This window comes from Homo sapiens, chromosome 13, assembly GCF_000001405.40.
Source record: "Homo sapiens chromosome 13, GRCh38.p14 Primary Assembly".
In the NCBI taxonomy this organism is placed as follows: Eukaryota; Metazoa; Chordata; class Mammalia; order Primates; family Hominidae; genus Homo; species Homo sapiens.
In genome coordinates, this window is record NC_000013.11 from 31433734 (window position 1) to 31450681 (window position 16948).

The 16948-nt window shown below is 40.1% G+C and overlaps 1 long non-coding RNA gene across 3 annotated transcripts in view; it reads left to right on the forward strand.

Annotated features, from left to right (window-relative positions):
- LOC105370150 (uncharacterized) overlaps positions 1 to 16948 on the forward strand; it is a 50628-nt gene that overhangs the window by 13745 nt on the left and 19935 nt on the right. Inside the window, exons 1-4 of one of the 3 annotated variants that reach the window (XR_941829.1) lie at positions 3803 to 3882; positions 3986 to 4053; positions 7365 to 7447; positions 9632 to 9737. This is a non-coding gene — a long non-coding RNA (uncharacterized LOC105370150). Of the gene's footprint in view, positions 1 to 3802; positions 3883 to 3985; positions 4054 to 7088; positions 7448 to 9631; positions 9738 to 16948 lie in introns of those variants that run through there. The other 2 variants (XR_941830.1, XR_001749806.1) reach the window with 2 other exon arrangements.

The window sequence follows — 16948 nt, forward strand, 5'->3', positions numbered from 1 at the left end:
GGTGAAAGGGGGCAAAATCAAGACCCTTATATTTTGGAGCGATTTTTAAAAACTTCACCAAACAGTTTTGTTAAAATAGATATTTATTTTTCAGCTTTCTTTTGTTCTCCAGTGTTTACATGCTAAGTGTACACGCTCGCATATTCTTGCATATTTCACAATATTCTTTAAAAAAGCTGTTCGGTTTCTTGTGACAGGAATTCAGACCTGGCTTCTGAGCTGTGGCACAGCAGAGGAAAGGCAGCCAGCACGGGATCTGAAACAGCCCGAGGGGCCTTCCCTCATTAGCCCTTTTGATACCCAGTGAAGAGTCACTCTGTCTTTACAACATCTTATTTTCTTTTTACTTGTAGCGCTGAACTCTGGAGGTAATGAGATATCATTGTCACACTCTCTCTCTCCCCCCTATTTAAATGTGCATTCTGTGAAGGTGGGAAGCTTAAACAGTGCCTGGTATATAATAATTGATCAACAAATATTTGTTGAAAAATGGGAAGATACTTATTTAGATAGTGAAGGGCGTGTGGGGGGTGGGCAGGATTGCTGCTCTGGGTGCAGTCTGGACAGCTAAGTATTAACCAGCTCAGCGAAGGGTCAGCAGGGACAGCCTTTTATACCCTGCCCTCTTGGTACCCTAGTTCTTGTCTGGTATTGAGAAAGAATCAGGTTACAAGAAATAATTGAAGGGTGGTGAATGTGGAGGACTTTATTGAGTGGTGGAAGTGGCTCTCAGCAGAAAGGGGAACTGGAAAGCGGGTGGAGTGGGAAGACAATCTTCCCCTGGAGTCCAGCCATCCCTAGCTGAACTCCTCTCCGACCACAGTCTCCGACATCCAGCTGTTTCTTCTCCTCTTGATGTTCAGACACTTCTCTCTTCTGTGTGTATGACTGCTGAGTCTGGGGTCTGGGGTTCTCATGGGTACAGAATAGGGGACGGGATGGGCCAAAAGGCAACATTTGGCCAGGAAAACAGGGATAGTTCTCACTTTGGGCCACGGGTCTAGGTTTAAGGGTGGAGCCCTCGTCAGGAACTCTGCCCTCTTCTACCCGGTATTTCCCTGCCTCCTGGCCTTATCAATGTTACCTCCCGGACTTATCAATGTCACGTCTTCCTCAAGTTCCTAGTGTCGCCCAGTCCAAGTCAATGACTCAGTAGATTAATCAGCAACCTTTTCTCTCAAATTGTCAAAAGCTGTTCAGAGTTATTGAAGACGCTCAATTTGCTGCAGTTAGGGATGCAGAAATTTGATGAATAAAAAAATTATCAGATTTTAACTTAAGACCCTAATTGTTAGATCTTTATTTTCTTTAAGGCTTTTGGAAAAGGAAATAAAAAAATTTTAAGTACTTATAGACGGCATGAAGAGGAGATGCAAAGATTTAGGTCTTTGAGAAAGAAGTGGATTTTTTAAGTGTTAAAAAATCATCATTTTTAGTCTAAAGGCACTGAGTGCAAGGATAATTAAGCAAGTAAAAGTCTCACTTTTTGAACTCAGAAAGTGATAGTTCATTGACTTCATGGATTTTCAACTTAGCAAAATTGCCTTTTAAAAAATAACTAATGCTGTCTTTCTCCTGAGAAAAGCTTTTTTTTTTCCACCTCAGTTTTTTCATAAGCCCAAAAGTATTTTTGCATTTAGGCAGGCCTTTCTATGTGGATTTTGGTGTGAATGTAGATAGTTCTTAAGTTTCTTTCTATGCCCAAATTACTGCTCAGTTATTTCTTTCATACAAACATGTTTTGAGTTGAACCACTAATTTTTACTTATAATATCTAATTTAGCTAAAGTAACTTCACAGACCCCTTAAAACTTGCTCTATAAAAGTGGGAATACTGAAAATCACTAAGTCACCATGGGGCAAAGGGCATAGAATATGCTAGAAGTGACTCTTGCCGGGTTGTAATTTTGGCTGGCCCTGACTTGCATTGCATGTCAATTGCAGGAGTTTGTTACCTACCTTGGAGGGTTTCGATGGGGAAGATCCCTGCAAGCTGCAGGAAGTTCTTTGGACCAATGATTAACCAACCGCCCTGGCACCTTCCTGGCAATGTTGTATTCTTGCCAAGAGGTGGGGAGCTTCCAGGGACCACTGGGGGACACAGAAGAAAACCTGGGAAAATTGAAGCAGAACCCCTGAGATGTGGCTGACCAGATATATGCCCTGGCATCCTGGCTCACGGGATGGGAAAAAAAATAACCTGTGCGTGTCTACTAATTGTTTCAGATCTGAAGAAAAAACTATGATAGATGCCTTTATATACTTTCTGAAAAAGAAATTCCTCAGTATATCACTTACATATCTACAACACTGTTGGGAATGTTCATAATTATAATCATAGCCACAGAGAGACTGTAGATGTTTAAATTCTGTTCCTGGTCAATCTGAGTGTTCTGGAAGGAAAGGAGATTATTTCTGAATGCATGTATTTCTGCATTTCATATCTAGATATTAATTCATGCTGTGATCAATCAAACCCTCTCTGGTTCTTATTAATACCTTATATTTATTTGGGGGCTTTTTCCTCGAGGAGGTATTGTTATAGTAAGTAGCTAGTCTGGCATGAGCAAGACAGGAGAGGGCTCTCCCACCCTGCCCCAGGAATGTCAGGCGACATCAGGTGATGGTCTGGCTGTTGTTAATTGTCTCTCTAAAATAATAATTTGTCACAGTCAGTGCCAGGGAAAGGCAGTTTTCCTATGATAGAAAAAAACCTGAAACTAGTGATCAGCAGTTTCCTGATAAGATCTCAGGAGTTGGGCAGTGGGCTCCAGCATGTGCATTAAGAGGTAAAATGACGGAGTTTAACTGGTCTATGATGTTCCATTGACATTTGACTGGTACGGGAAGAATGCCTCAAGTGAGCATGTGTACAACTCCGTAAACACACTGCACTTGCTCACCTCCCAACTGCCAGTAGGTCACTGCTCGTCAAACAGCCCACAGCCAAGGGAAGAATTAGGGAAGAAGGAATGCAAGACAGCAGAGGAGGTCTTTTGATCACAAGTCAAAGGTCAAACCACACACTTGTCCTTCAAGTTGACTGCTTGGCCCTCTTACAAGTATACTTTCTTTCCTTTTTTTTTCCTGCTTGAAAGCTTTTAATACACTTTCACACCTGCTCTAAAACTTGCCTCGGTCTTTTCCTCTGCCTTATGCCTCTCGGTCGAATTCTTTCTTCTGAGGAGACAAGAATTGAGACTGCTGCAAACCCATATGGATTTACTGCTGCTAACAGTATAATTATTTTATTTGAAATGTTCACACCCTTTCATCATATTACAGAAAACAGACAAGCAATATCCATATAGCTCTCCTCCCATCACCCACTTTAGTCCCATCTTCCAAAATAAGCAAATGATAGCCTTAAGTGGACATTATCATCAGTAAGAAAGGAAGTGGAGGGAAACATGTTTACGTAATGGGACAAGCACTGGACAACAGCTAGGGAAAATGATATGACGCCTTACTGCTGCTAGCCAGCAGTGTGATGTTGGAGGAAGGTACATTTGGGGGTCATAATTTCCTTACCTACAAAATAAGAAAGGTAGGATGTGTATGACCTCTTCAAGCTCAAATTCCAGGATTGGAGTTTAGAGAGCAGCAGAAAATGGCTGAGACCCTTTTTGGGGACAGTCTCCCCTCATACTGGGGATTCTCTTATTTTTCTTCTCAGGGAAACAATAAGCATATTGTGGATTGTAATAAAGAACATTCAGCAGATCGTCATTTTGTCATCACTGTGAATACAGCTTCTGAAAGGAAAGGGACAGAGAAAGAGAAGAAAGAGACTAAAACAAGGAAAAGAGTTTCATTAAAAAAAGAAGATGAAATTTATGCCAAGTTCAAAAACTCAACTGACCATCAAAATGTACACTCATGGTATATGGATAGGTTAAAAAAATGAAACATGGTACATAATTTTTAAAAAGGAAACAATATTTACGTATAATCCAAATCAATCTACATGTTGTTTTATTTAAAGGATTCCCCAATCCAGAGTGCTTGGGAATAAGAGTTTCTGGATGGCCAAGTTTACCCAGATACCTAAAGGTTAGTTAACCTTTTAAATTTTGTAATTTATTTTTAATGGGAAGCTTTCTAAAGTGTACATTTCCTTGTCTTATGAGACAGAGTAGATTAAATGGACCATTTGATCATAATTAGCCCTTGGGAATATAAGTATCTAGTGCTCAGTTCATAGTTACAGACTCAGATGTAGATACAGATTGAATAGCTTGTGTGCTGAAGGCTCACAGACACAATTGTGCTCCTGAAATGTGTTTGTGTTTTTGTGATTAGTGCTTTGTAAATTCCCTGCTATCAATTTGAATCACAGTTATTTGCCTGCTTCTCATAAAGAAAGTGTGGCCTGAGGCTACACCAGCTAAATGAATTCCTGAGGAGTTGAGCATAGCTGCCTCTCAGAACATTTAGTGATCTAATGAAGGCAGCTTTTCTAATGATTGCTGTTAGGTCCTTTTGCTTGTAAGCACTGTTCAGTACATGGTTGTTCACATCCTGGACCACAGGCTCCTAGTCCGCATGGGCCACCCCTTCTCTCTACGATGTCACGTGTTATATCTCTTTACAGTCACTTCCCCCAGTGCTTTCAGCTCCCAGGTCTAAAACTGCCCTAATAGAAAAACCAATCAGGGTCCTCGTCCCTTCTGGTCAGCACATTAAGCCAGCTGCCATGTGTTAGTATAATCTTCAGGTATTTGACTAAAACATTTGGCTTATTGGCCACTGAATATTCAAGAGCCTTGTTGCTAAAGAGGCAATTAAAATGATTAACAAAACGTATCTTTCCTATATCAGCCATTATTATAGTTCTACACATGAACTGTACTTGTTGGGTTATGATATATATTGCTTCTTCCCCAAATATAAAAGGTTTTCCCTCTATCCAATGGGTTCTTGCTCCAGTTGTCAAGCCAGGCCCCCAAGGTTCGAGGAGGTGGAGAGGGGTGGACAACAGGATAATAGTGATGTTGCTGCTCCTTACAGCGGAGCCTGGCACCCATGGGAAGAAATAACAAACCCAAGTCACGCAGCTGATAAGAAGAAGCAGATTTGGGATTATTTCACTAACCTCTGGGGTGTAAATTTGCCTTAGCATAAGCTATGAGTTACAACCAATGGAATCGCTACAATAACAACAGATTCAACGCAGTGTCTATTAGAATTCATGATGTTTTCCCTTATTTCTTATTGTTTACTCACAGTCAGGGAAGTACTTGGTTTTGCTGCCTGCATAAACATGATATTGGAATTCTTTCAAATTTATTATTTAGTTTAAAGCTTTCTATCAGTTATTATTTTTTGTTCATGTGTACTTCAGCTCCATATAAATTAATTTCAAATTTATCATATCTTGCTACTTGCTTCTTTCAATTTTTACTTATATATTTACTTCGTCCAGGGCACTAATGTAACAATCCATTTACACGTGTTTTATAGCATGACTGGCTTTTTAGGTACCCGCATTTTCTGAAAAGCAAGATTGTTATTTGCATTTATAGTATCATATAAAAGATGTAGGATTGTATACATCAGTAAATTTGCTGCATTTTATATTTATTGATATCAATATACTTCTTTCTATTCCTATGATTTTATACCTTTTGCCCAAAATGTTGGAATATTGGTGATTATGATTTTTGTATTGGTTCTAATAAGTAATATACCATATTTTTTATGAGTAACGTAGTATTTCTCCAGTAAAGCCACAATAAAATCACTTTCAATCCTTCTGTTTGATGAAAAGTACTTAATTTTTCCCCAAAAGTTCTTCATAAAATCTAGAGGTACCTTGTGCATGGCATGTGTTCTGTGTGTCCATAAACTATAAATAGATGCAGATGTTACTATCTTATGTAACATCTTTATTTCATCAAGGTTTGTTTAGCATCTTCTGAGTGATGGCTGTGAGCCTCACTTCTACTTCAGCAGCAGGGTGGTTCAGAGCTCCTTCTAGCACATCTTGAGAACTGATGCTCAAATGAGCTCACAAAAGACATGTATGTGTGAGATTTTCCAGGCCCACAAACGGTCACTTCTCATATTTTATCATCAAACTTCCACCATTGTTTTTTCTTAACCAGATAACTTTTATAGTCGTGATCCCCCCATAACCTTAGCATTTTAAGTAAGTCATCCACATGTGAACTATTACCCAACAGAGGAAGAAGAGGAAGAGGATCATTTGCCCAAGACCATCTTTGTCACCATGTGATTTGGGATCTTAAGTAGCCACAATGTGTGATGACCACTTGCATTTCATGATTTTTAAATTCTTATTTTAAATTCACTTTCATTTAACAAACTTTTGTGTTTATTTAACTATTTTTACTCCTGGTTCAAATTCAGGCACACTCAGAAGAGGAAAAGAGTGGTTTGTTTTTATGATGTTAGTATAACACAGTACAGAAATGTCTCATTTATTTATAACTTGAGATTTATACCACCATCTAATTCCAAAAGGAATTTGAGGTGGTACATGGAGATGTTGACTTTGCTCTTATCTGAGTGCCTTAAAATGTAATTTATGCTGGTTGTTGTGTGCCATATATCAGCCCCTTCTTGGCACTTGGTGATTAATGTCTGTGAATGGAACAAAACTCACACTGAAGGTATAAAACATCCTCTCATCTGTGAGGTCTTGGCAAGCACTGAGAAAACTGCAAGAAGAAATAATTTGAAGTTGCACACTAGGCGCAAAAGAGTCGAATGGCTCTTTAAGAGGAACTTCAAAGGATAAAATAACTCTTTTTTTTTTTTTTTTGAGACAGAGATTCACTCTTGTTGCCCAGGCTGGAGTGCAGTGGCGTGATCTCAGCTCATTACAACCTTTGCCTCCTGGGTTCAAGTGGTTCTTCTGCCTCAGCCTCCTGAGTAGCTGGGATTATGGGCGCCCGCCATCATGCCTGTCTAATTTTTTGTATTTTTAGTAGAGATGGGATTTCATCATGTTGGCCATGCTGGTCTTGAACTTCTGACCTCAGGTGATCCACCCACCTCGGCCTCCCAAAGTGCAGGGATTACAGGTGTGAGCCACCATGCCCGGCCGATGAAATCTTCTTAAAAGGCATCTCTACTAGAAAATGGTTAATGCCCCCCTCCCTTTGTACTCTCTGTGTATGCAGCACCCAATCTTTGGTGCCCCTCTGGGTTTCTGTCCTGTCGCCTCACTCCTGGTGAGCTTTAGGAACCAGGTCACACATTTACATATTTGTCTTTGCACAATGTCACATGGAAAAACTCTGACAAAATAAGTTAAACAAGTTTAACATTGATAAACAATGCAACTTTTGTTTTAATCTCTCTTTCTGACTTGGTTTCTCACATCATCCATCGGGAAGTAAAATAAGCAAGAAGTGGGGAGGATGAGGACGGAGGAGGAAGGAACAGCTAAAGCAGACATTTTTGTTTGGTGTTTCATCAGGTGAGTGACTGACCACACATTTAATTGGCTGGCAGATGGCTTGATGACTGTTTTTCAACCCAATTACCTGGATGTTCAGGCTGAGCAATTTCCCTTGGCAAAATCGTGAAGTAGTTTTGAAGCTGCATTCACTGCTCATTCAGTTTCCTTTCTGTGCTGCCCTCCCTCATACCTTTGTGTTTTCCTCTGGGTACCTTTCTGGGAGCACAGCCTGCCTCTGGAGGATCCAGGGTGGGACACACAGAAGGGAGAGTTCTAGAAACAAAAGGAAGACCAGGTCACGCAGAGGTGCAAGATCAGAGGCTCCCCTCTGCAGAGACTGGGGAGCCACAGCCTTCATCACCTGAGTGGGGACCGACAGGCAGTGGACACTGCGGACCCGGCTCTTGCCTTCCTTATTTGCACCTTCGAGGGGTTCCAAATCTGAACCACTTATGCTTATTAAAAAGTCCTTTTCCTTGCCTCTACTGTGGACCAACTAAATTCCTAATCTCTCTGGGTAGGACCCAAAAATCTGAATTTTAAACAACCACCTATGGTGATTTGTGTGGACATGAAATTTGATCCCTGGTGGACTCTCTCTCATCTAGATGATCTCTTAAGACTCAGCTCTAACCTTCTATAATTCTAAGGCCAATTGAATTTGACTCACTTTATTCTCCATAAGGAGAAGCCCTAGGCCACAGATGTACAGCAGGAACTCTCCGAGAACCTTATCCTCATCAGCCTTCAAATTTGCAAACGTCTTCCTCAGCACGTCATGCCTTGGCAGGCACTGTGTGCAGGTGTGGATGGGTCACATTGCCCTCCCTGTGGAGCTGGGAACAAAACAGTGAGACTCCACTGGGGGCTGGTCCAAATGCAGCCTCGTAACAGACTCCTGCTCATGGGCACGAGGGCACCAAAGACACTTAGGAGGGGCAGAAGGAGGCACCCTGCTGATGGGCCCGCCAGCAAATTCCATGGCAAGGAGAGTGGCAGCATTAGAGAGAGGCAGCAAGATGGAAATGAGGTCAGGCTGGAGAGAGAACATTCTGGATGACATCATGGTTGCCAGGAAGCTGGGGAAAGAAGCCTGCTTGTCCAGACCACGCCAAGAGTCTAAAAGGGTCAGAAGCAGGGTCAGCCGATCCCAGAGGGAGTGCAGATACTCTCAGAATGAGCTCTGGTGCTGGGCTTCTGGGGAGCTCTGGGGATGCAGGAATAACCTGCTACCCTGAGAAACTCATTGACGCAAAGTTCTAGAAACACAGCCAGCTCTCTGAGAGGAGCCAGGTCCTTTTATACAGATCCTTCTTTTCCCCCATGGCTCACTCAAAACAAAATCTAACTCCATCTCCCTGGGCCTCAGTTTTCTCATCCGTAAGATGTAGGTGTAGATAATCCCCACAGTATCCTCCAGTCCTATGTTTCTATGGAAACTAAGCAAAATAAATAACACAGGAAAATATAAAAAGACACTGTTAAGCAAGATAGAGTGACGGTAGAATTTTCTGGAGAGGTAAAAGCTTGTAAAGGGCAGAAGGAAGCCTTGACCACAGAGGTGGTGAGCAGCAGGCCAGATGTGCAGCAGGGATAGGCAGGGGTGGTTACAGGTCCAACGTACACACTTTGGATTTGGCCCCATGGAGAAGCTAGGAGGAAGTGAGGGCTCACGGTTCACCGTGAGACCAGCTGAGGTCAAGGTACAGGCAAAACTATTCAAGGCAATCACTGCTCAGAGGATCCTCCAAATAAAATGGCTCATCTGCCTCAATCTGCTTTCATGGCTCCATTGTTTCTTATATAGCTTTTTTTTTTTAATGCCTATTCATTAAAAAACTTCAGGGAATATTCACTTTGCTCAAATCCTCAGTGATGGCGAGCATCAAGCTTTCAAATACCAAGCAAACTGTCCATGGCATGGTTTGTTTTTTTTTTTAAGACTAAATAAATTGAAAGAAAATCCAATGTACATGTTCCATTCTGCAACCCCAAGTCTCCTAGTGCCCCTCAGTTCCTCAGCCTGCCTCCTGTGTCTGAGTGGAGAGCATCTTTAAGGGGAACTGTCGCAGGTGTGATACACCATCCCTAGCTAGGAGCCCTCCCAGTCAGGTGGAGGGTGGCTCCTTCAGCAGAGACAACAGCTCTAGAGTGTCCCAGATGAGTGCCATTTCCAATGCATCTTATTTCCCATGTACCTAGAGACTCTCTCAGGAATGGGGCCACCTCACAGAGTCACACACACAACCCTTCTTTCAGAGGTTGGAATGCAGAAAACCCAGCAGCACCAGCTCTCTCTTCAGACAAGGTAATAAAAACCTCTTTTAAATCTCACGCTTATTCCTCTGTAACTCCTGGCAATAGGCATGAATGATCCTTCACTGAGAGATTTGTTTTTATCCATCTTGGGATTGAAGAGATGTCCAGGTTGGGCCCCTCACACCATACGCTCCCACTGGAACACAGGAGTGACTTGCTCAGGGAGGCAGCCCCCAGCCCAGAGGCTCTGCCCCTGTCTCCTGTCTCTGATCCCCAAAATGGGTGTGAGAAGAGTGAAATGGGAAAGTCACTTCTTCTCACTGGTTTAAAACTCTTATAGCAAAGAGGGGCTACTTGTACTTTTACAGCAACTGAATAGCCAATACTTACCGCACAGAACACAGGACGCATTTATTCTTTAATTTTCTTAATCAAAGATGGTTGCTGAACGAAGGTTGTGGGAGCTTAAGCAGCCCCAAAGCACCCCCTCGCTTGTAGTAGACTGTTTTTGGAAAAAAAGAAAGCAAGACCTATTTGGTGTTTTCTTCCTGATGTGAACTGAAAAGCAGGCTTGATCCTTCTAAATACTGTCCAACTCATTCACCTTTCTTCAACTCTGTACTAATTTATCGAGTGTACTTTATTTTAATTTTTATTATTATATCTTTCATTTCCACATTTATAGTAGGTTCTTTTTCGGTGCTACTTGTACTTGTTTCATTTCTCCTTGTTTGTGTTTTATGCAGTCTTTTTCTTGTTAAAAGAAGTTATGCCTCGTTTATCTTTTTGAACACATTTAGCCTACATATTTGAAGGTTTTGCCAAAAAATTCTAAAAATTAAGTCTGGAGTAAATTCATATTTTGATGGTTGATTTTCTTGGCTGTCTCTTTTTGTATTAGATTGCATAATGCATCTGTCTCTCTCTCTCAGACTAGCAGATTTGCAATTGCTTCCTCCTGGCCCTCTGAGCCTCTGGGATTAAGAGGATTCAGAGCATTTTCCCTAGCTGTTGTTTCAGATGATAGTTTCAGATGCCTGTTCCACTGTGATGTTGGAGATGGAAGATCCTCTCACTTGGCCAGCTGGCAACATGGTTTACTATCGCATTCTGATGAAACTAAGAGCTGCTCTCCAAAACCATCTCTCTAGGGGACATTTGTCGTGCTAGTTTTTCCTTCTTTAGTTTCTTTTCATGATTAGGGAGAGCCCCTCCTCAGCTCCTGCCTTCAAACTGCGAGCCTGGCCCTTGCCCTGTGTTTGATGGAGAACTCCTAGTCCCCTTTACCCAACAGAACATTATCTCTTGGTAGCCACTGCCTGCTTCCAGACTCAGGGCCTCCTGGGCTCCTGGTCTCAGCCACCTCACCACTTTGCATCTCTGTTCCATTTCTGGTGCAGGAAGACATTTATTTTGTTGATTCTGGCTAAAGTTTTTTGTTCCCTTTTGAACTATGTTCCTGTCATCACTATATCTCACTTATTACTATATGTGTGACCTCAAAGTGTGAACACTTGGATATAACTGCAAAAATGTGATACTATTTCTGCAAAATTTAATTTTTAACTTATGCAGAATTCTGCTGTGGCTTCATGCATTTCACAAATGTTTGTCAGTTCCTCATGTATGTGGGTCATTGTTCTAAGTTCTAGTGGAGCAGCGGGGAGAGGTGGTATGAAGCTTTTCGACTTCCAGATGCTTTCGATTTAATCAAGGATTAACTGTCACACTCAAAGAACTATAATGCAGACAGTGCCCATCATCTTCTGAACCCAAATCAGAAGGCGTGGTCTGACTGTAATCAAGCAACTTGAACTTTCCAGTTTGTTTCTCCAGCTGCAAAATGGCAACCATAACATCTACTACTTTGGGTCGTTTTGAGGATTAAATAATATAATAGAAATAAAACACTTAGAATCTGGCACAAAGAGAGCACTCAATGATATTAACTATGCTTATCTTAATAGACACTGTCTCAACTTTAAGCATCATGACATATATGCATACGTATATATACACACATATATGTATATGTATATGTATATGTGTGTATGTATGTATATATATATAGAGAGAGAGTAGTTTCTTAGAAACAAAATATTTTAAGTTTTTTGTTTTTTTTGAGATGGTATTTCGCTCTTGTTGCCCAGGCTGGAGTACAATGGTGTGATATCGGCTCACTGCAACCTCTGCCTCATGGGTTCAAGTGATTCTCCTGCCTCAGCCTCCTGAGTAGCTGGGATTATAAGTGCACGCCAACACGCCCAGCTTATTTTTGTATTTTTAGTAGAGATGAGGTTTCAGCATGTTTGGCCAGGCTGGTCTCGAACTCCTGACCTCAGGTGATCTGCCTGCCTTGGCCTCCAAAAGTGCTGGGATGACAGGCATGAGCCACCACTCCTAGCAAAACAAAATATTTTTATATCTTAAATTTTTGTCTCTTTAAATTCTTGTTATTGAACTGTGATAGAATGGGCTTTTCTTTCCCCTGGACCACCTATATTTTGATGTTTCTTCACCTTGCCCAGGAGGGACTTTTGCAGCAGAATAATGCATCCATGTTATGCATGAGAGAGATTTGTTTGTCTTGAAAGTGTTCTGCTTTAAAGAGGGTAAGAACTCACCATCTCCTCCTTGAATGAAACTAGGAATGGGTTTCCAAGGGCTCAGACACAGGACCAGCAACAAAGGAGGTTCTAGGGGTGGACAGAGAGTAGAAAAAGAAAGGAAGAAAGGAAACCAAGGGAGAGGAACTTATGGATGCTCATCTGAGAAGGCCTCTGCATGTCTGAGAAGTGACCCAGTGAAAAGATATTTTATACCAGCCTCTGTACTCTGAGAATATTTGTGATTGGCGGTGAGGGTGAGTGTGATGGGATTCTTCTGGTAATGGGCTATCCTTGAGTTCACTGTTGAAATGGTTGAGTGATGCCCATTTTTTCAAGGGTAAAACCTTGGCTGAAAGCTTGATTCCCTGGGATACCAGATATCCTGGGATGCCCTAGATCACTATAGTGATAGATAGGAAAGCTAATTATGAAGACTTGTGAGAAAATAGTGCCTACACCAAACATTTCCCTAACCCATGTATAGATAGTTTGGTCCAAGAGCATCCTGGGAAGGGTGGGGACATTTTACATCCAATGTCTTAAGGCAATGGAAGGACACGGTATTTAAAACAGACACTCTTCTGGAAAGTCTAAGATGAGTGGACCCCAGAGCAGGGTAGATGCTGTGCAAGTCATTGGACAAGAGAAAAGCTTAAGAGTAATTCCTTCCTGATCAGAAAGGGCCCGTGGACATTGTGCTCAAGAGATATTCATTTTATTTTACTTTATTTTTATTTAGTTCTGGGATACATGTGCAGGATGTGCAGGTTTGTTATTTAGGTAAACGTGTGCCATGGTGGTTTGCTGCGCCTATCAACCCATCACCTAGTTATTAAGCCCTGCATACATTAGCTATCAATCCTGATGCTCTCTCTACCCCTGTCCCCCGAAAGACCCCAGGGTGTGACGTTCCCCTCCCTGTGTCTATGTGTTCTCATTGTTTGGCTTCCACTTGTAAGTGAGAACATGTGGTGTTGGTTTTCTGTTCCTGTGTTAGTTTGCTGAGGATGATGGCTTCCAGCTCCATCCATGTCCCTGCAAAGGACATGATCTCACTCCTTTTTATGGCTGGCTAGTATTCTACGGTGTATAAGTACAACATCTCCTTTCTCCAGTCTATCATTGATGGGCATTTGGATTGATTCCATGTCTTTGCTATTGTGAATAGTGCTGCAATAAACATACTTGTACATGTACCTTTATAATAGAAAGATTTATATTCCTTTGGGTGTAATGGGATTGCTGGGTCAAATGGTATTTCTGGTTTACATCTTTGAGGAATTGCCACACTGTCCTCCACAAAGACATAGTTTAAAGTGCATTCAGTAATACAAAAGTGGGATGATGACATGCCAAGCACTTTTTATTTTATTTGTCTCATGTTTATAACCACAAGCAGAATGTTGGTTGATGGCCTCTTTTGATGATTAAAATGAGAAGGCTGTAACAGAGATAAAAGACTTGTGCACATAGCTAAGTGCTGTTGGGATCATGTCTGTCAAGTCAAGATCATCTGGGGGGGCACAGGAAAAAAAAAGGAACCTTTAACGTCATTGGGATGGATTTAGAGAAAAATGTTAACAGCCAGCTTCGTTTTTCTCAACCTCGGTGTCATAGCAATAATTGTTTGTATGTGCTGAAACTCTTGTGAGTTAAAACAGCTCTCATGAGCAGCCACCTTATTTCAGCAGAAACCAGATAGTGTTGAGATTCATTTTTGAATGTTGTTGTGGATTTTTCTTTTTTCTTTTTTTGAGACAGAGTCTTGCTTTGTCTTTCAGGCTAAGAGTGCAGTGGCACAATCATGGCTCACCATAGCCTGGATTTCCTGAGCTCAAGTGATCCTTGCACATCAGCCTCCTCAGTAGCTGGGACTACAGGTGTGCACCACCATGCCTAGCTAATCACCTTCTGGAATTTTGAATGAATATTGCCTCCCTGCCCAGGAAGAACTGGAATGCTCATGGATTGCTGGGGTGGACGCAGGCTCATGGGAATGGGGTTGAGGGGTGCTGGGTGGTCTGCACATGTGGCTTCAATGTTTGGGTTCAGTTTTATGTTTCTCTCCAAGAGTTTTAAAAGTAAGTTAAGACCCACTCAAAATGAGGCATGGCCATTGCAGTCAGTCTAAAATAAAGGAGGGAAATTGGAAATCATAAGCGTTTGTGTTCAGAGAAATAGGTCAGAGGTCTTAAAACGTCTGGCTATGCGAAACCCAAACAGCAACAATGAGATGCTTTGGGCCAAGCCCAGGCTCGGAACAATCTGTGTCTGGAATGGTTCAGATTTTGTTCTCAGAATTTGTCTGTTTTTCGGCATTACCCCAAATACCAATACAATGTCAAAATAGAACCCAATTCTCCGATTGGATGACCAAGGCTTCCTATAGGGAAGAAGGTAATTTTCCCCTTAAGAGTTTTAGCTGACTGATCCTTCATAGCACCTGACTCAGGTTACAAAATTCATACAATCAAGATCTAAAAACAGATTTCTTTTCCATGTTACTTTTCCTTATCTAAGTGCTGCAACCCACTAAAAACAGCAATTTGTTAATTTTCTTAATATCTTCCATTTTCCTCTTCACAACTCCATTTTACATCCATGATGCTTAGTTTTTTTCAGTGATGCCTTAAATTCTTACTGCTTGCTTCATTTGAATATTATGACATTTAATGAAATCTTTCTCATCAGGTTGATGGATTTCTTTGTTCCTGTTTCTTGTCCCTTTCATAATATGTCATTTTGGAAAATTGGACTTTAATGTTTTCTAATTCTTCTTTTTAGCACTGTTTGCTATCTCATGTTTTTAGAATGATACTTTTACCACTTCTCACGTATTGCCAAAAAGAATCAATTAACATTTTCTCTAGATCTCATCTTGGAAATAAAAAGATAAATACATTCTTCCATGCTAAAAAATAGAACAGAAGATGGTCCTTGTGCTCATCCTGGTCAATTCAGTTTCTGGGTCTGTTGAGAGAAAATTAATGGACAAAAGAAGGCTATTAAAAAAAGAATATAAAGAATTACTTTTTAGAATTAATTAAGTAATGCAGGAGAACATCATGTGGTAACTAGATTATTGAGAAATACTTTTTTTACTGACAGACTATATAAAACTCTGACACTTATAAGAATACTGTCTTTTCTGAATGGGAGGAAGCACAAATGCTCTTGGATGCATTTGAACAGACTTGTACTTGTTATGCTCATATATAAATATCTGCTTGCAAATGTTCTCAAAAGTAATTATTAAAATATATGTTGAAAGAATGAGGGTCATGTTACATGAAATTCCAATATCTTCCTCTGTGATGACATCTCAAAGTCTTTAGAAAATTCTTTTGATTTAGAGTCTTTAGAAAATGCTTTGCCTTATAGCAACTAACAAAGCCTTGGAATAAATGCTGAGATAAAACCAAACTGCTGCAAAGTAACAACATTAATGAGACACGGTCTGCTTACTTTTTCCTCTGGAGTATCATTATTTTAATACTGGAATTTTCAAATCAATTTCTTTTTCGATTCCAAGCACCCAGAAGCTATAAAATCAGATATTAGCATTGGGGAAGATTTATTACAAAAGTTATATATTGAATTATCTATTCTAAGAGACCTGAAATAGTCAGATACTTCAGTGAAATTTTTGTACAATTATCTTGGAGATTTTTTTGTTTGCTTGTTTGTTTTGTATAAAATCAACACTAACTATTTCATCTATTTAAATATGTTACAGTCTAGCAAAAACAGGCTTAGAAATCTTTCCATCATTAGTAAACACACATATCTACTTGAAAATCGTTAGTATCTATGAGATCTCCCACTCAAGTATTTTAAAGTAATATAGGACTAAATTGTCTTTGTGAAAAACTTAGACATTATGGATTAAGCTAGTGTTTCTCAGCCCTCCACTTTCAGTACTGGCTCTCTTCCTAGAGTTAACCAGTGTTATCAGTTCTTTGTATATGATTCCAGATCTTTTATTTCTTCTATGCATTTTCATCTATATCTGTATTTATATTTATAGCCATGTAACCATTTTGTTGGACACTATTGGCATAATGACTAATGCTTACCCGCTTTACAGAAGCCATGAATATATTTAAGTACTAACATTCTTTATTGCCTCTAAAGTATAGAAAGTTACAAAATTTCAAAATAATGCTTAAAACTCTACCAAATTTAATATTAACAAATATAGCATTTATAAACAAGTCATTACATTTGAAAACAATGGGTAGGTTAGATTTTCCTTACTTCACAAATGTTCCCAAGTGCAAATGATAATTACTGAAAAATTATAACTAATTACAAAATAAATAAGTTACTTGTAACTAAATCTTTTCAAAAGCAAAATTAGAAAAATCTTTCCTAATATTTTTTACAACAAAAAATTTATATTTAATTTAGGAAAAAGGTCTCAAATTAGGTGGAGTAGTGTCTTCAAAATTTAAGATTTCTTAGAGCTTACAAATTTCTTAAAATAATCTTGTAGAACTATGTAACATTCTTCTGTGTATTTTTTTAAAACTTGCTCTACTCACTAAAATATCTAGAGATTTTTAATGTGAGTAGACATATATCTAGCTTCTTGTTTTGCAACTGACTGCTAATATTTCATGGTGCTTTTGGAAAGTGAAAAATATGGAGT